Source organism: Homo sapiens, chromosome 1, assembly GCF_000001405.40.
Source record: "Homo sapiens chromosome 1, GRCh38.p14 Primary Assembly".
Taxonomy (NCBI): Eukaryota; Metazoa; Chordata; class Mammalia; order Primates; family Hominidae; genus Homo; species Homo sapiens.
This window is the reverse complement of record NC_000001.11, coordinates 92,640,282-92,660,887: the sequence shown is the minus strand read 5'-3', so window position 1 is coordinate 92,660,887 and position 20,606 is coordinate 92,640,282. Positions and strand designations below refer to the sequence as shown.

The following is a 20,606-nucleotide window of genomic DNA, read 5'->3' as shown; positions in this document are numbered from 1 at the left end:
GAAATGTATGTAGTTATGAAACACTACCACAATCAAAACAAATAATATTTCTATCATTCCCTTTATGGTTCACCACCCCCCAACCCCAGCAACCTGTGTGCTTTCTTTCACTATAGTTTTACCTCTTCTAGAATTTCAAATAAATAGAATTGTAAGGTATGTGACTTTTATGTCTGGCTTCTTTCACTTAGCATATCTATTCACTTTTTTGATGATTTTTGAAAGTTTTATTTTTAATTGACACATCAAATCAGAGTAATTAGCTAACACATTGATTGCCTCGAACATTCCTTTGTGGTGAGAACATTCAAAATCCCCTCTTCTAGCTATTTTCAAATATACAATACGTTATTGTTAACTATAGTCACTCTACTGTGCAATGTAACACCAGAATTTATTCTTCCTATCTAACTGTAACTCATACCTGTTGACCATTCTCTTCCCATCACCATGTTCCCAATTCCCTCCCTAGTCTCTAGTAACCACTATTGTATTCTCAGTTTCTATGAGATCAACTTTTTTAGATTCCACATATGAGTGAGATCATGTGGTATTTGTCTTTCTGTGTCTGGCTTATTTCACTTAACATAATGTCCTCCAGGTTCATCCATGTTGTCACAAATGACAATTTCATTTTTTAAAATGGCTCAATAGTGTTATTTTTATACATTTAGGGGATCCAAGTGCATTTTGTTACATGGATATATTTCATAGTAGTGGAGTCTGGGCTTTTAGTGTAACCATCAGCTGAATAGTATATATTGTATCCATGAGTTAATTTCTCATTCCTCACCGCCTCTCACCATGTTACCTTTCTGAGTCTCCAGTGTCTATTATTCTATGCTCTATGTCCATGTGTATACATTATTTCTCATTTATAAGTGACGGTATGCAATATTTGACTTTCTGAGTTATTTTACTTAAGATAATATCCTCTAGTTTTATCCATGTTGCTCCAAAACACATAATTTCATTCTTTTTAATGGCTGAGTAATATTTCATGGTGTATATACACACCATTTTTTTGTATTCAGTCATCCATCAATGGATACTTAGGTTGATTCCATATCTTTGCTGTTGTGAATAAATCTACAAGAAATATATGAGTACAGGTATCTTTGATATAATGATTTTTCCTTTGGGTAGATACCCAGTAGTAGGATTGCTGGACTGAATGGCAGTTCTGTTTTTAGTTCTTTGAGAAATCTCCATACCATTTGTCATACAGGTTGTACTAATTTCCATTCCCACCAGTAGTGTATATGTGTCCTCCTTTTTCCACATCCTCACCAATATCTGTTATTTTCTGACTTTTTAATAGCCATTCTGACTGGTGTAAGATGGTATCTCATTGTGGTTTTAATTTCTCTGATGATAGTGATGTTGAGCATTTTTTTCATATGTTTGTTAGCCATTTGTATGTCTTCTTTTGAAAAAGTCTGTTCATGTCCTTTGCTCACTTTTTAATGGAGTTTTATTTTTCTTGTTGAGTTGTTTGCGTTCCTTGTAGATTCTGGATATTTGTCTTTTGTCTTATGTGTAGTTTGCAAATATTTTCTCCCATTCTGTAGGTTGTCTATTCACTCTGTTGATTATTCCTTTTGCTGTGCAGAAGCTTTATAGTTTAATTAAGTCCTATTTGTCTATTTTTGTTTTTGTTGCATTTGCTTTTGAGGTCTTAGTCATGAATTCTTTGCCTAGGCCAATGAGCAGATAGGTTCTTCCCAGGTTTTCTTCTAGGCTTTTTAAATTTTCAGGTCTTAAGTTTAAGTCTTTAATCCATATTTTTTTCCTTCTCTTTAATCCATCTTGAGTTAATTTTGTAAATGATGAGAGATATGAATCCAATTTCATTCTTCTTCATATGGCTAATTTTCCCAGCACCATTTATTGAATAGGGTGTCCTTTTCTCAGTGTATGTTTCTATCAACTTTGTTGAAGATCAGGAAACTGTAGGTATGTGACTTTATTTCTGGTTTTCTGTTCTGTTTCTTTGATCTGTGTGTCTGTTTTTAATACCAGTACCATGCTGTCTTGGTTACTATAGCCTTGTAGTATAATTTGAAGTTAAGTAATGCAATATCTCCAGTATTGTTCTTTCTACCTAGGATTGCTTTGGCTGTTCTGGGTCTTTCTTGGTTTCATATGAATTTTAGGATTTTTTTTTCCTAACTGTGAAAAAAGACATTGGTATTTTTATAGGAAATACATTGACTCTGTAGACTGCTTTGGGCAGTATGGTCATTTTAATGATACTGATTCTTCCAATCCATGAGCATGGAATGTTTTTTCCATTTGTTGGTGTCATCCGCAATTTATTTCATCAGTATTTTGAAGTTTTCCTTGTAAAGATCTTCCACCTCCTTGGTTAACAGTATTCCCAGGTATTTAAATTTTTTTGTAGCTGTTGTCAATGGAATTTACTTCTAGATTTGGATCTCAGCTTGATTGTTATTGGTGTACAGAAATGTTACTGATTCTGTACATTGGTTTTATGAAACTTTAATGAATTCTTTTATCAAATCTAAGAGCCTTTTGGAGGAATCTCTAGGGTTTTCTAGGTATAAGATCATAACATCAGCAAACAGATAATTTGACTTCCTCTTTTCCAATTTGAATATCTTTTATTTCTTTCTCTTTCCTGGTTGCTCTGGCTAAGACTGTTAGTACTATGTTGAATAAGAGTGGTGAAAGTAAGCATCCTTGTCTTGTTCCAGATCTTAGAGGAGTGCTTTCAACTTTTCCCCATTCATTATGATGTTGGCTGTGGGTTTGTTGTATATGGTTTTTATTATTTTCAGGTATATTCCTTCAATGCCTATGATATGGCTTGGATCTCCCTTCCAGATTTCATGTTGAGATGTAATCCTCATTGTTGGAGGTGGTACCTGGTGGGATGTGTTTGGATCATGGGGCAAAGACCTCATGACTTGGTGCTGTCCTCATGTGAGTGAGTCCTTGTGAAATCAGATTGTTTAAGACTGTGTGGCAACCCCCTCCCCTACTCTCTTGCTCCCACTCTCACTGTGTGACATACCTGCTCCTGCTTCGCCTTCCTCAATGAGTAAAAGCCTTCCCAGAAGTAAATGCCAGTGCTTCCTGTACAGCTTGCAGAACCATAAGCCTATTAAACCTCTTTTCTTTATAAATTACCCAGCCTCAGGTATTTCTTCATAACAATGCAAGGAGAACCTAGGTTTTTTAGTTTTTTTTTGTTTGTTTGTTTTAACAGGATCTTGCTCTGTCACCTAGGCTGGAGTACAGTGGCACAGTCATGGCTCACTGCAGCCTCAACCTCCCAGGTTCAAGTGATCCTCCTGCTTTAGCCTCCTGAGTAGCTGGGACTACAAGCACACACCACCATACCTCATTAATTTTTGAATTTTTTGTAGAGATGGGTTTTCGCCATGTTACCCAGGCTGGCCTTGAACTCCAGGGCTCAAGCGATCCACCTGCCTTGGCCTCTCAAAGTGCTGGGATTACAGGCATGAGCCGACGTACCTGGCGTATGTTTGGTTTTTGTTTCGTTGGGTTTTTTCTGTTTTTAATCATGAAGGGATGCCGAATTTTATCAAGTGCTTTTTTTTGCATCTGTTGAGATGATCATACAGTTTTTGTTTTTAGTTCTGTTTATGTGGTGAATCACAGTTATTGATTTATTTATGTTGAACCATCCTTGCATCCCTGCAGTATGACCCACTTGATTGTGATATATTATCTTTATGATGTGCTGCTGGATTTGGTTTGCTAGGATCTTGTTGAGGATTTTTGCATCTGTGTTCATCAGAGATATTGGTCTGTAGTTTTGTTATTTTTGTGGGTCCTTCCCTGGTATCACGGTGATGCCGGCTTCATAGAATGAGTTAAGGAGGAGTCCCTCCTTGATGTTTTTTGGAAGAGTTTCAGGAGAATTGGTACTAGTTCTTCATTGTATGTATGGTAGAATTTGGCTGTGAATTCATCTGATCCTGGGCTTCTTGTTCTTGTTGGGAGATTTGTTATTACTGATTTAATTGCACTACTCATTATTAGTCTTTTTAGGATTTCTGTCTCTTCCTAGTTCAGCCTTAGAAAGCTTTATTCTTCCAGGGATTTATCCCTTTCTTCTAGGTTTTCTAGTGTGAGTGTAGAGATGTTCATAGTAGTCTCTGTTCATTTGTATTTCTGTGGTATCAGTTGTAATGTCTCCTTTTTCATTTCTGATCACTTGTTAATTTGGGTCTTCTCTCTTTTCTTGGTTAATTGAGCAGTATATTGGTTTTGTTTATTTTTTTCAAAGAACCCACTTTTCATTTCTTTGATCCTTAGTATATTTTGTTGTTGTTGTTCTCAGTTTCATTTAGTTCTGCTATGGTCTTTGTTATTTCTGTTCTTCTGCTTGCTTTAGGTTCTTGTTTTTCTAGTTCTTGAGGTACGATGCCAGGTTGTTAATTTGTGATCCTTCTGGTTTTTTTATTTAGGCATATAATGCTGCAGACTTCCCACTTGGTGCTGCTTTTGCTATATCCCAGAGGTTTTTGTATGTTGTGTCTCCATGTTCATTTGTTTCAAAAAAGTTTTAGATTTCTATTTTAATTTTGTTGCTGACCCAAAGATGATTTGGGAGCAGGTGAATTTTTATGTATTTGTATAGTTTTGAGAGTTCTTCTTGGAATCAGTTTCTAGTTACATTCCACTGTGGTCCAAGAAGAGACTTGATATGATTTTGATTTTTGAAAATTTATTGAGACTTGTTTCATGGGCTAAAATATGGTCTGCCTTAGAGAACATTTCATGTGCTGATGAGAAGAATGTATATTCTGTGGTTGTTGAATAGAATGTCCTATAAATGTCTATTAGAGTCCAATTTATGTCCAGTATTTCTTTGTTGATTTCCTGTCTCAGTGATCTTTAATGCTGTCATTGGGGTGTTGAAGTCCTTCTCTATTATTGTTTTGCTGTCTCTTTTCTTAGATAGAGTAGTTTTTCTTTGGTTTTCTTTTCTTTTTCTTTTTATTTATTTTTGTTTCCAAGGCACTGTCTCAGGATGTCCTGAGAACATGTGCCCCAGTAGTAGTTGTCTTATGAATCTGGGTACCTCCTATATCGGGTACATATATATTTAGGATTGTTACATCTTCCCGTTGACTTTATCCCGTTATCATTTTAAAATGACCTTCCTTGTCTTTTTTCACTGTTGTTGATTTAAAGTCTGTTTTATCTGATACAAAGATAGCTACTCCTGCCTGCTTTTGGTTTCTGTTGGTGTGGGATATCATTTTCTACCCTTTTTCCTTCAGTCTGTATTAGGTGGGTTTCTTGTAAGCAGCATATTACTGGATCATCCTTTTTGTAAGACCTGTAAGTTTTATACTTTTGTCTGTTTTTATGATGTTGAGTATTGACCTTTTGTTTACATGTTTAGAACTCACTTGAACATTTCTTGTAAGGCTGGTCTAATGGTGATGAATTCTGTTAGCATTTGCTTGTCTGGGAAAGACTTTTTCTCCATTTATGAAGCTTGTTCTAGCAGGATAAAAAATTCATGGTTGACAGGTTTTTTTTTTTCTTTAATAAGTCTTAAAATGGGATTGTGATTTTTTTTCTGGCTTGTAAAGTTTCTGCCAGTATGTCCACTGTTAGTCTGAGGGGATTTCCTTTACTGATGATTAGACACCTTTCTCTTGCTGATTTTAGGATTTTTTTTTTTCCTTCATGTTGTCATTAGTCTGATGAGTATATGTGTTGGTGAAGTCCTTCTTGCACTGTATTTTCCTAGAGTTCTCTGAGCATCTTCTATTTGGATGTCTAAATCTCTAGCAAGAGTAGGGAGTTTTCCTCAATTACTTCCTCAGATAGGTTTTCCAAACTTTTTGCTTTTTCATCTCCCTCAGGAATACCTATGACTTGTAGGTTTAGACATTTTATATAACCCCTATACTTCTCAAAGGCTTTGTTCATTTTTGAAAATTATTTTTTCTTTATTTTCGTCTGACTGGACTAATTCAATAGACCTGTCTTTAAGCTCTGAGATTGTTTTTTCTGCTGGGTTTAGTCTACTGTTAAAGCTTTTACCTGTATTTTATAATTTCTTCAATGAATTTTTCATTTCCAGACTTGATTTTCAGATTTCTTGGTGTTGATTTTCATTCAGCTTTCTCTTAGATCTCATTGAGCTTCTTGGAAATCAGTATTTTTAATTCTTTATATGGTATTTCAGAGATTTCATTTTAGTTAGGATCTATTGCTAGAGATTTAGTGTGATCTTTTGAGAATGTCATAACACTGTCTTTATACTTCCAGAATTGTTTGGCTGTTTCCTTCTCATATGGAGAAACTTATCTTTTCTTCTTATTTTTGAATTTACTTTCATTTGGACAGGAATTTTTTTCCTCTGAAGGATATAACTACAATGTATGTTCTGGGTGCTTCCTTGGCAGAATGTATGAGTTCTTTGAATATAGATAGCCTTTGTGTGGTGGTTTTCTCAAATGCTAGTTGTAGTAGTAGTGTACTGGCTGTGTGAGTAGTATCACAGCTTCCTGCAGGGCTGGGATGGCGGAAGTCTCAAGAATCTTATCTCATTTCCCAGCACTGTGCACTTGTGTCAGCAGATTTTCTGTTGGGTTGTGCATTTCAGCCTCCAGGACAGTAGGTGGTGGTTGTGGGTAAGAGCCTGCTGCAACAGAAGCAGATGGACAGGTGCTTGATCTTTGTTTAATGGGGGAAGTTCTTTGTTGCTTCAGGCAATGGGCTGGGCTGTGGAATGTACAGTGGCTTGAGCTCTCTGCTCACCCCCTAGCAGGGGACAAGTCAGGGCAGAGATGGACAGCCAAGCCGGCCCTTGGATTCCCCAATGATGAGCACAAGCAGAAGACCTGAGTGGGGGTGGCAGGGAAGCTCCTGGTAAGTACACTGAGGTCTCTGCAGAGAGGCAGGGAGCCACCCCAGTTCCATAGCCCGGGCAGGCAGGAATGTAATCTCTCTCCCTGTCATGCCCCTGTCCCCAAACTCAGAACACTCAAATTGGTCAGACACCACTGTCTATCTCCAGGCTGCAATGTACCTGAGAGCCATAAAAGATGACTGCCCCTTGGCTTGCTGCCAGAATGTCTTTGTTTTGGAGTCTTCTTCCTCAGTCCAAAACACACAGCTTTTTGGCTCTCCTCTCCCTTGCAGGAACGCTGCTGCTCTGCATGGAGAGGGGGAGGGGGTCCCACCTTTTGCACAAGCTTAGATATGGTGGACTGATTGCCAGTAAGACCACAGTCACCCCTGTCTGCCCCAGAAAGTCTGTGTGCTCTGATGCACCCATGCCAGTTTCCTGTGGTATCAGCCATGGCTATGCCTACAGCAGTGGGGTTGAGGAGGAGTCCCCATCTCCATGCCTGGGTCTGAGCACTCATACTAGGTTGGCCCCTGGGATGAAATCACACTTGCAAAGCCTTGTAGAGCCAAGCACAGTGCCCACATCTTTGCTGGAGGCAGTGCAGTCACTCAGAGTCCACAGGTGGTGAGCTCTTGGGCACAGGAAAGTATGTGTTCTGGTTTCCTTTGTCCCAGTGGGTGCTCCCTTGGCGTGCAATACTTGTTCTTCTCTTCGGGGCAGCAGTTGCCGAGGAACCCTGCAGCTCCCTGGGTCCAGCCATCCCTTTGCTGCTGCCACAATCTGAGCAGATGCCAGGGAATGTCTATGGGGCTCTGGTGATGTGGAGACACAAAGGCTGAGGTTCCCTGGGCAGGGTACAGACCCCTGATGGCTGTGCTCCCAGTATAGCACCCTATCGCTGCTGCTCAAGTCCGGGGGCAGAGTGAGCAACCCAGTGCAAGTTGGTAATCTGGTGCAGTGCCCTCAAGAAGTCCCCAAATCACTGCCCACACCAGTGTTTGGGTTTGCAGGGTAGAGGAGATCTCCGACAGTTCAGTTACCAGTGGTTTGTCACAGGTTAAAGAGGAGCCCAAACACTCCCAACTACCCTTTTGACTAGATACCAAATCCCTCGGGGTTCCTAGCCGATCTCTGCCAGCTTCTTGCTTCCTTCTTTTTCTGTGCCCCAGCTTCTTCACATGAGTTCTCTACTAGCCTCCAGCATTCTCTGGATAGTCTATTCACATTATGGTTATTCACTTGTAACCTTGGTTCTTCTTTCTGAAGAGAACTGGCATTGGACACCTCTAGTCATTCATCTCGAACCCTCTCCCCAAGAATAGTATTTGATTGTGCATACACACCACATTTCCCTTATCCGTTTGTCTGTTGATGGATATTTAGGTTGATTCCATATCTTAGCTTTTGTGAGTAGTGTTGCAATAAATGTGGGAGTACAGATACCTCTTCAACATACTGATTTTATTTCTTTTGGAGCCAGCAGTGGGATTGTTGGATCTGATTTTTTTCATTGTGATAAAATATATACAACCTAAAATTTACCATTTAAGTGTACAGTTCAGTGTCATTAAGTACATTTATAATATTGTGCAGCCATCTCCACTGTTCATTTATAGAACCTTTTCATTGTCTGAAACAGAAGCTCTGTATCTAGTAACAATAATCTTTTCCCATCTTCCCAGCCTCCGGTAACCTCTGTTCTACTTTCTGTCTCTATGAATTTGCTTATTCTGGGTAGCTTATTTAAGTGGAAGCACATAATATTTGTCCTTTTGTGTGTGGCTTATTGCACTAAGCATGATGTTTTCAAAGTCCATCATTGTTATAACAGGTATCAGAATCTCATTCATTTTTATGGCTGATAAAATTCCATAGTATGTATATACTACGTTTTGTTCATCCGTTTGTTTGTTGATGGACATTTGGGTTATTTCTGCCTTTTAGCTATTGTGGATAATGTTGCTATGAACATTGCCCTATAAGTATCTGTTTAAGTTCCTGCTCTTAATTCTTTTAAGCATATACCTAGAAGTAGAGTTGCTGGATCATATGTAATTTTATGTTTAATTTTTTGAGGTTGTGTCAGACTTATCTATAGCAACTGTACCACTTTCCATTCCCACAAGCAGTGTACAAGGGTTCCAATTTCTTTCTTTTTTTTTTTTTTTTGAGACGGAGTCTCGCTCTGTCGCCCAGGCTGGAGTGCAGTGGCGGGATCTCGGCTCACTGCAAGCTCCGCCTCCCGGGTTCACGCCATTCTCCTGCCTCAGCCTCCCAAGTAGCTGGGACTACAGGCGCCCGCCACTACGCCTGGCTAATTTTTTGTATTTTTAATAGAGACGGGGTTTCACCGTTTTAGCCGGGATGGTCTCGATCTCCTGACCTCGTGATCCGCCCGCCTCGGCCTCCCAAAGTGCTGGGATTACAGGCGTGAGCCACTGCGCCCGGCCCCCAATTTCTTAATATCCTTGCCAACTGTTGTTATTTTCTGATTTTTGTTTGTTAAGTAATAGCTATCCTAGTAGGTGTGGGGTAGTATCTCATTGTGGTTCAAATCTTTTTTTAACTTTAAAATTCTTTCAATGCAAAGACTATATCAAATAGACATTTAAATAATTTTTTGACCGAGATTTTGTTTATGGTTCCTCTCTTTCTCCTTTTCTCCAAATATAAGTAGCGGCCAATTTAGTCATGGGAAAGATAACAACTAATTTCTTTATTCTGTAATTTATTGTAAATATATCAGGTTCAATTTGTGTAAATACTTTGTATTTTCCTTAGTCCTATATGTGTTAATCTTATAATGGAATGAACTTATTCATATATTTATTTGAAAACTAATGTGCAAAGTATTGTCTTAAGTGCAGAGGGTACGATAATAGTAAACAAGAAAAACGAAGACTGCTGTTACGTGAAGTGTTCTAGTTGGGGAGACACATTAAACAGATACAATTTCAGGTGGTAATAAGGTGATGAAGAAAAATAAAAATAAAGCAGAGGAGAGGTGGTTTGTGCAGGTGCTACTGTAGGTAAGCTAGTTTTGGAGAGCTTCCCTGAGGAGCTAAGATTTGACCAGAGACTCAATGATATGAAGATGGAAACTATTTGAAGATCTGGGAAGAAACATTCCAGATAGAGCATACACTTAGTAGAAAGGCCTTTATCAAGGAATAAATTTGTGGTTTTCAAGGAACAGTAAAATGTATATTTATAAACCATAGGGAAACCACCTAAAATTTTTTTAGAGAAAAATATATAATTAGGTAGCAAATAACAGAGATAAAATTGAGTAATTTAAGAAATTATTTAATCAGGAAAAAGAAAAAAGGAACAGCAAGTAAGTGGATCAGATAGAAAATTTGGAAGATTATAGATTTTATTCCAACCATATCAATAATTATATTAAATGTATTTTAAATATACCAATTATAAGATTGGATAAAAAGTTAAAACATATCTGTAAGAAATTTGCTTTAAATACAAAGATCTTGTTAGGTTAAAAGTAAAAGAATGCGCCAGCAATGAATAACTAGAGAAGGAAATTAAGAAAAAAAGTCCATTCACAGTAGCTTCCAAAAGAATAAAATGCATAAGAATAAATTTAACCAAGAAGGTAAAGACTTGTACTCTGAAAACTTGTACTCTGAAAAAAAGGATGTTTACTCATTTGTCAAAATAAAGAAGATATAAATAAGTGAAAATCTATCTCGTATTTGTATATTGGAAGTCTTAATGTTAAGATGTCAGTACTACCCAAAATCACCTACAGATTCAATCCTATCAAACCTATCAAAATTCCCATGGACTTTTGCAGAAATGCAAAAGCTGATCTTAAAATTCACATGGAATTGCAAGTGGCCTTGAATAGCCAAACAATCTTGAAAAAAAAGAACAAAGTTGGAGGACTCACACTTTCTGATTTGTAAACTTAATACAAAGCTAGAGTAGTCAAAGTAGTACTGGCATAAGGATAGACACATAGATTAATGGAATAGAAATGAGAGTCCAGAAATAAACCCATACATCTATGGCCAGTTGGTTTTCCACAAGGATGCTAAGAACATTCAATGAGGAACGAATAGTCTCTTCAACAAATGATGCTGGGAAAACTGGATATTCTCCTGCTAAAGAATGAAATTAGATGCCTAACATACTGTATACAAAAATTAACTAAAAATATTCCATAGATTTTACAGTTTTGTTTTGTTTTAGGCAGGGTCTTTCTCTGTCGCCAGGCTCGAGTGTAAGGGCACAATCAGCTCACTGCAGCCTTAACCTCCAGGGCTCAAATGATCCTCTCACCTCAGCCTCCCGAGTAGCTGAGACTACAGGCACATGCCACCATGCCCAGCTAATTTCCATATTTTTTAATAGAGATGAGGTTTTGCCATGTTGCCCAGGCTGGCCTCAAGCTGAACTCAAGCGATCTGCCTGCCTCAGCCTCCCAAAGTGCTGAGATTACAAGCATAAGCCACTGTGCTCAGCCAACTTTATGATTTAAAAATAACATGTTTATGTTTTTAAAGCCATAAAACCCTGAGAAGAATACATAGAGATAAATCTTCATGACCTTGGATTTGTCAGTGGTTTTAGATATTGGTTCTTAGGCACCAAAGGCATGAGCAACAAAAGATAAACTGGACTTCATCTAAATGAAAACTTTTTGTGCATCAAAGGAGATTAAGAAAGTGAAAAGGCAACCTGTAGAATGGTAGAAAATAGTTGCAAGTTTTGTAGCTGATCAGGATCTACCATCCAGAATATATCATGAACTCTTACAACTCAACAACAAAAAGACAACCCAGTTATAAAGTGGGCAAAAGACTTGAGTGGACTTTTCTCCAAAGAAGATATGCAGATGGCCAAAAAGCAAATGAAAAGATGCTCAACATCATTTTTCATGAGGGAAATGCAGAGCAAAACCATGATGAGGTGCCTCTTCACATCCATTATAATGGATGGCTATAATTTTTTAAGAGACATGTTGGCAATGAGGTGGAAAAGTTGAAACCCTCATACATTTCTTTTTGGTAGGAATATAAAATAAAATATAAAGCTGCTGTGGAAAACAGTTTGGCAGTTCCTCAAAAAGTTAAGCATAGAATTATCATGGTACCCTGCTATTCAACTCAGAGGTATGTACCGCAAATAAGAGAATGCTTGTACTCAAACAAGTATGTGTATACACGTTTGTAGCAGCAGCATTCACAGAAAAGTGGACACAACCCAAAAATCCTTCAGTGGGTGAATGGATTAACAAATTGTCGTATACACACAATGGAATATTATTCAGCCATAAAAAGGAATGAAGTACTAATATATGGTATAAAGTAGATAAACTTCCAAAACCTTAAGCTAAGTGAAAAAAGCCAGACCCAAAAGATCACATATTGTATGACTCCATTTATAGGAAATATCTAGAATAGATAAATCTAAAGAGAACAGAACACAGATTAGTGGTTTCCAGAAGGTGGTGATGGGGGAAAGATAAGAAACTGCTTAATAGGTAAGGGGTTTTACTTTAGAATGATGGAAATGATATGGAACTAGATGTGGATGGTCATACAACATTCTTAATATACTATAAGACACTGAATTGTTCACTTTATTTTTTTTATTTTTTTATTTTTATTATTATTATTTTTTTGAGACTGAGTCTCGCTCTGTTGCCCAGGATGGAGTGCGGTGGTGTGATCTCTGCTCATTGCAAGCTCCGCCTCCCGGGTTCACGCCATTCTCCTCCCTCAGCCTCCCGAGTATCTGGGACTAAGGCACCTGCCACCATGCCCGGCTGGTTTTTGTTTTTTTTTTTTTTTTTTTTTTTTTTTTGTATTTTTAGTAGAGTCGGGGTTTCACCGTGTTAGCCAGGATGGTCTCGATCTCCTGACCTTGTAATCTACCCACCTCAGCCTCCCAAAGTGCTGGGATTACAGGCGTGAGCCACCGTGCCTGGCCACTTTAAAATGGTTATTTGAGGCCAGGCATGGTGGCTCATGCCTGTAATCCCAGCACTTTGAGAGGCTGAGATGGGCGGATCACTTGAGGCCAGGAGTTTGAGACCAGCTTGGCCAACATGGTGAAACCCCATCTCTACTAAAGATACAAAATTTAGCTGGGCATGGTGGTGCATGGTGGTCTAGTAATCCCAGCTATTTAGGAGGCTGAGGCATGAGAATCACTTGAACCCAGGAGGTGGAGTTTACAGTGAGCTAAGATTGCGCCACTGCACTCCAGCCTGGGCGACAGGGAGAAATTCTATACCCCCCACCCCCTCAAAAAATGTTATTGACCTCCTACCTCTCCTCCAAGCACCCTTCCTGCCCCCTTCACCTTCCCTCTTGCTAGGTGACCAGGAAGGAAGAAGCAATTTAGTCAGGATGGCTAAAGGTGATCCCAAGAAACCAGAGGGAAAGGTGTCTGCTTATTCCTTCTTTGTGCAGACATGCAGAGAAGAACATAAGAGAAACCCAGAGGTCTCTGTCAATTTTGCAGAATTTTCCAAGAAGTGCTCTGAGAGGTGGAAGACAGTGTCTGGCAAAGAGAATCCTAAATGTGGTGAAATGACAAAGGCAGATAAAGTATGCTATGCTTGGAAGGTGCAGGATTGTGAACCAGTTAAGTGAGGCAAGAAGAAGGACCTTCATGTCTCCAAAAGAGACATGTCTGTATTCTTCCTGCACCGTTCAGAATTTCACCCCAAGATCAAATCCACAAACCCTGGCATCTTTATTAGAGATGTAGCAAAAAAGCTGTGTGAGGTGTGGGATAACTTAAATGTCAGTGAAAAGCAGCCTTGCATCACTAAGGCAGTGAAGCTGAGGGAGAAATACGAGAAGGATGTTGCTGACTTTAAGTCTAACGGCAAGTCTGGTGCAAAGGGTCCTGCTTAAAGTTCCTTGGAAAAAGGTGGAAGAAGTAGTCAAAGAAGATGTGAGGAAGAGGAGGAGGAGGAGGAAGAGGAAGAAGAAGGTGATGATGAATAAAAAACTGTTCATCTGTCTCCTTGTGAATACCTTAGAGTAGGGGAGGGCCATGATTGACACATCTGTTGTTTGAGAAATGTCTGTTGCCCTCATTAGGTTTAATTACAGAATTTGATCACAATCATATTGCAGTCTCTCAGAGTGCTCTAAAAATTGTCAGTGGTTTACCTGAAGTGGTCATGTGTGTCTGGAACACTCTGAAATTGTATCAAAGTTGTACATATTTCCAAACATCCCCAAAACGAAAAGATAATCTCATGTTTTCCTCACTCTATGCACTTTGCTGTTGGTGTGACAAAGCATTTAAAGATATTTCTGACATTTTAAAAAACATTTGTAAGGTGGTATTAACTATACGGTTATTGGCTAGAAATCCTGTTATCAACTGTACATATATATAGTTTATAAAAAGAACAAAACAACCAAGACAAACTCTTGGTGCTCGTTTCTTGGCGCTGAGCCTGTGGGGGACAATGCCTTTTGGAGGGGTCGTAGCTTAGAGCGTGCACTGTGAGGCTAGTCCTGTTTCCCCTGTAATGTTCAGCCATTTAGCTTCAGCTTGTCTTGTTTCTACAAACGGTAATATAACAGTCTGCTACCATTCTTAGCTGTGGACAAAGAGGGGTCAGCTGGCCTGAGAAGTGTTGGGATTTTTTTAATTAAGTGCATTGTCTATAAACTTTTTGAACAAGCTGTAGAACTGTTGTCAGCAAAGTAAAGAGCCACTGCATCAATGAAAGTTCAAGAAAGAACCTTCTGTACTTAAATGTGATTTTCAGTGTTCTGGGGTTTTTTTTGTATGTTTAGAATGCTGAAATGTTTTTGAAGTTAAATAGTGTTAAAAATGATTTTAGAATTTTGCTTCAATAAATTGTTTTTAAAAAGACTAAATAAATGATAATATAAAGCTCAAAGAAACTCGACACATTTAAGTGATTGCAGTAGAAGACGAGTTTATGGGAGAACGTGTAAAGTCCCTGTGCTAGAACCCATTGGTGAGGGTCAGGTTAGAACCAACAACAAGTGATCTGGTTTGCAGGGGGAGCCTGGGAGGATTAGGAGATTCACTCAGGGCTGGGGTTGGGCATGTCTTGATCAGAGTTGTGGTTGCCTTGAGACTTATAAAGGAGAATGCAACGTGAAGTGAAGCAGAGCAGGTTGGTGGCAGCAAGAGAAGTGAGTTGCAACAGATTATCAGACCAATGACCTGTAGCCCAAAGGCAAGGGGATTTAGATATAAGAGACATTAATTTGGAGTATCAGCATTTACTAGATTAATGGGAGAGCAGCTTGGACAAGGATGAATATGGGGGCTATTACCCACAGCTAAGATTTGATATGATTTGGGGATGTGATATTTGGATAGGATAGCTCAATTTAATGTGCCAGAGTAGAGCAGACATAAGGTTCTTTATGTTCCTCTAGTTAGAAATAAGGTTGGTCCCAAAATATCAGTGAATCTGAGCCTGTAGGTAGGGGTGAAATAGTCTCAGTTGCAAAGATTAGAAATTACAGAGGCCAAAGTAGGTTGCTGTGTAGCTATGGAAATGTGTAGAGCTTGATAGCTAATGACAGTGACTTTCCCCCACAGTGGACTTCTAGGAGTGAAGGATCAAGATGGTCTGCCTATAATTATTGGACATAATATTTTAATTACAACTGGAAAAAAATTAAAAGGATGAAAAAGATATAATATGGAAATCTAATCAAAACAAAGCCTGGAGTGTCTGCATTAGTATCATAGACAAGGTGGACTTTAGAACAAGGAATAGCACCAAGAGTAAAGAGAACTATCTATAATGATAGTTCACCAAGAAGACATAACAATCTTATTTAAGATTGTATGTGTTTAGGAATGTATGTCACCTAATATATGTATGCTAACAGGAACAGTAACTTGAACTGATAGAACTGAAAGGTAGAGTGAACAAGTTCAGGTCTTCGACATCCCTGTCTCAGTAATTGATGAAGCAAGTAGGTAGCAGAAGACCTGAACAGTACTATCATCCAACCTGCCCTGATAGATATTTATGGAACACTGTACCTAATAACAGCAGAATACATATCCTTTCAAACATACATGGAAGATTTATGAAGATAGAACATATTCTGGGCCTTAAAAGGAACTTTATCAAATTTGAAGTAATTGAAATCATACAAAGGATCTTCTCTGACTCTAATATCATTCAATTAGAAATTAATAATAGGTATCTGGAAAATCCCCTAATATTTGGAAATTAATACGTTTTTACCCATGGGTCAAAGAGGAAGTCTAAAAGGAAATTAGAACATATTTTAATTAAATGAAAATGAAGACACAATATCTAAAAATTTGTGGGACACATCTAATGCAGTGCTTAGTGGAAAATGTATTAAGTGCTTATAATATTAAGTGGAAAATGTATTAAGTGCTTATTAGGCAAGTCAGTAAGTCTCAAACCAATAATCTAAGCTCCCACCTTAATAAACTAGACATATAAAGAAATTCAAGCTAACCAAGCAGAATGGACAAATAATAAAAAGTGTAGAAATCAGTTAAATTGAAAACAAAAGTAGAGAAACTTTGTCAAACCAAAAGCTGGCTTCTTGAAATGATCAGTAAAGTTGACAGATCTGTGTCCAGACTGATGGAAGAAACAACCAATGTCAGGAATGACATTAACTTTTTACAGGTGTGGCCCAGTTGTCTTATTTCATATTCTAGATTTGTCTAATTCCTTCCTCGTGGTGTCATTGTATTTCTTGTCAACTGGACTCAGACATCTAGATTATAGATGATGTTGTAAACTTCTTTTTGCTTTAAATCAGGAAGGCACATGATATAAATTGTGCCCATTATTAGTGATGCTGAGTTTGATTTCCATGCTAGGTTTGGTTATCCCAGACTCTCTCCCTTGTAAAAGCTATGATTTCATGTTTGCCACTATTAAGTGATCTGTTGGAAATATTTTTGTACCAAATAACTATCTTGTTCTCCATCCACCTTTTACCTAATGGTTTTACCCTCCACAAATGATCCTTATGGAATCAGTTATTACATTAGGTTTCCAGAATGGTGACTTTCATATTCTCTCATTTTTCTACATTTATTAGTTATAAACAAGAATCTTTCTCTTTTTTTCTTTTAATATCTCTAGCTCCCTCTGACTCACTATGAACTCTTTCATGTTACTCCAGATTTATTGACTTTTGTTCAATATGTCATATAATTCTTAATAGTTTCAATGCTATTGGTACAGTGATATGCTATATAGTTATGTTACAATAGAATATTAAACTTCAGAACAGCAGTTTTTTAAAAGGTAAAGTTTATTTTTAACTAATTTTGAGTATTGGCATTATTTAACAAGTGTTTCTGCAGTTCCAGTTATAGAATGATTGTCTTTAGTAGATCACTGCTTCCATTTTACGCTGGCACTTGGTAGTTTGAACCTAATATTGTTAGTTTTCAAAAATGATTGAAGGCCAGGCACAGTGACTCATGCCTGTAACCATAGCTCTTTGGGAGACAAGACAAGAGGATTGCTTGAGGCCGGGAGTTCAAGACCAGCGACACAGCAGGACCCTGTCTCTACAAGAAATAAAAAAAATTAGCCAAGCATGGTGGCACATGCCTAAAAGTCCTAGCTACTGGGGAGGCTGAGGTGGGAGGATCACTTGAGTGATCATTGATGATGCCACTGCACTCCAGATTGGGTGACAGAGCAAGACCCTATCTCTTTAAAAAAAAAAAAAAAAAAAAAAAGATTTGAGTTAATTTATTATTGAATTTGTATTTAGTGCACTAAATAAATTAAGTAAATAAGTATAAGATCAAACTGAGATATAGATTAAACTTTCCATTTAAGTATTTTACATGCTCCATATGAGTTTTTCCAAGAAGCCCCTAGATGTAGAAATCCTCCAGTGATATTTCACACAGTTGCACATCTGACTCCTGCTAATGTGGGGTATAACAAATGTGTTTATGTTGGACAACTTTTCCTGATGAGACCAACTGTCTAAGTCTAGCTTGATCCATTTAAAAGCTTTGTGACCTACCTATGACTACTTATCATTCAGGTGTTTTTATTATGCAGTTTTATCCAGCTGTTCTTGGTCTTACCATTCAGGTATTTTTATTATGCAGTTTAGTTCATCATAAATAAGGAGGAATTTGAGTTAAAAGCTGCTGAATGCTGAAATGACTGCCGTTTGAAGTTATTGGGACCTTCATACTAGGAAGTACTTAATGGGAGGCTAGACAGGATTTCTTCTGACCTTCCCTCCCTTTTCTATAATTCTAGAGAGAACATCAAAGAATTATGTAGGACTTTTAAGAACCAAGGATTTGATATGAAGAATATAAACCCATCTTACCTGGATTAAACACATGAATAAATGTTAATAAAATTAAAACTACCTGTTTATCAGTGAAGTTGTGAATTCTTCTAGATAATGTATTTTAGAAAATGTTTGTTCAGCAGCATTTAGGAATTATTCACACCTGATATACCTGGTGGGTTTGTTTTTCTTTAGGAAAATGGAAGTTAGTTGATATAGGTCTCTCTAAAAATCCAAGATAGATAGATGACTTTACACTTATAATTTGGTAAATTCTTTAACTTTTGGTCACTATACCTATAAATCTGGACGGAGATTTTTTCCAGAACTAATTTTGACCTTAGTCTAAAGATAAAATGTTTTACATTCGTATGTGATTATATTTTCCTTTTAAATAATAAATGAGGCGTTACTTTAATGGAAATTGTTTTCTTAACATTTTCTTAGCATTAACAACAATAACAACAAAATCTTACAGTTACACAAATAACCAGAGGTAAATGTCTTCTTAAAGGATGTAATTTTTGGATGTTGAGCGCAAATCATATAAAAATTATAGATTTTTCAACAATTTTTTTTTTTTGGGATGGAGTATCGCTCTGTTGCCCAGGCTGGAGTGCAGTGGCACAGTCTTGGCTCACGGCAACCTCCACCTCTTGGGTTCAAGTGACTCTCCTGCCTCAGCCTCCTGAGTAGCTGGGACTACAGGTACATGCCTGGCTAATTTTTTGTATTTTTAGTAGAGACGGGGTTTCACTGTGTTAGCCAGGATGGTCTTGATCTCCTGACGTCGTGATCCACCCGCCTCAGCCTCCTAAAGTGCTGGGATTACAGGCGTGAGCCACCGTGCACCACCGCTCCCGGCCTATTTTTCAACAATTTTAGTGTAGCAAATACTTAAATAGTACAACAGTATTGCTTGGGTTTTTTTAAATCCTGTTTACAGCATGTGGTAGGGAGGATTACAAACATCCTTTTGGGGTCATATGCTGAGGGAGAGGAAGATACAACTTTTTATCTTTTTCTGCTGTGATTTTGTGGTGTAGAAACCTATTCCAGAGTACTTGCCTTGTATAACTTTTTTCAGATGCTTTTGGATATGGCGGTCCAAATGTGCCATCTTCCCACATTATTACAAATTTTGTTTCTGGAACAAATGGAAACATTGTATCATTATTTTGTTTTGGGAAAGTGGTTCAAGATTGCTACATAGGCATTTCAATTAAAAATAGATTAACCATCAGTTTTATAGATTTTTTTTTGCAGCATTCAACTTCCACTTCCTATGTTTAATGTAAATTATATAATACAGGGATTTTGTTGTTAAACCAGGAGTTAACTGATTGATTCAGCAGTTAATATTTTGCTAACCTACCTATGAAAAGCACTGTTTGGTTCTGTTAACCAGGCAGTTATTGATTTATAATGGTAAGTCAGTCAAACTGTCTCCAGCATTTGCTTGTATAGTATATATAGAGATAAACATTTTAAAAATTAATCACACAATTTTTTTTTTCAATTTTACTTTTAAGTTCTGGGATACATGTGCAGAATGTGCAGGTTTGTTACATAGGTATATGTGTGCCATGGTGGCTTGCTGCACATATTGACTCATCCTCTAAGTTCCCTCTTCTCCCTCAACCCCCAACAGGCCCTGGTGTGTGTTGTTCTCTCCCCTGTGTCCATGTGTTCTCATTGCTCAGCTCCCACTTAAGAGTGAGAACATACGGTGTTTGGTATTCTGTTCCTGTGTCAGTTTGCTGAGGATGATGGCTTCTATGTCCCTGCAAAAGACATGATCTCATTCCTTTTTATGGCTGCATAGTATTCCATGGTGTTTATGTACCACATTTTCTTAATCTAGTCTATCATTGATGGGCATTTGGGTTGGTTCCAACTCTTCGCTATTGTAAACAGTGCTGCGGTAAACATATGTATGTATGTGTCTTTATAGTAGAATGATTTGTATTCTTTTGGGTATATGCCTGGTAATGGTATTGCTGGGTCAAATGGTATTTCTGGTTCTAGAACCGTGTTGGTTGAACTAATTTACATTACCATGAACACTATAAAAGCATTCCTATCTGTCCGCAGCCTCACCAGCATCTGTTGTTTCTTGGCTTTTTAATAATTGCCATTCTGATTGGCATGAGATGGTATCTCATTGTGGGTTTGATTTGCATTTCTCTAATGATCAGTGATGTTGAGCTTTTTTTTGATGTTTTTTGGCCGTGTAAATGTCATCTTTTGAGAAGTGTCTATTCATATCCTTTGCCCACTTTTTGATGGGGTTGTTTTTCTCTTGTAAATTTGTTTAGGTTCCCCATAGATTCTGAATTTTAGACCTTTGTCAGATGGGTAGATTGCAAAAATTTTCTCCTGTTCTGTAGGTTGACTGTTCACTCTGATGATAGTTTCTTTTGCTGTGCAGA

The 20,606-nt window shown here is 37.8% G+C and overlaps 1 protein-coding gene and 1 pseudogene across 28 annotated transcripts in view; both read left to right on the top strand.

Moving 5' to 3' along the window:
* EVI5 (ecotropic viral integration site 5) overlaps positions 1–20,606 on the top strand; it is a 283,715-nt gene that overhangs the window by 131,523 nt on the left and 131,586 nt on the right. The window lies entirely within an intron of this gene.
* HMGB3P9 (high mobility group box 3 pseudogene 9) lies at positions 13,158–14,040 on the top strand (annotated as a pseudogene).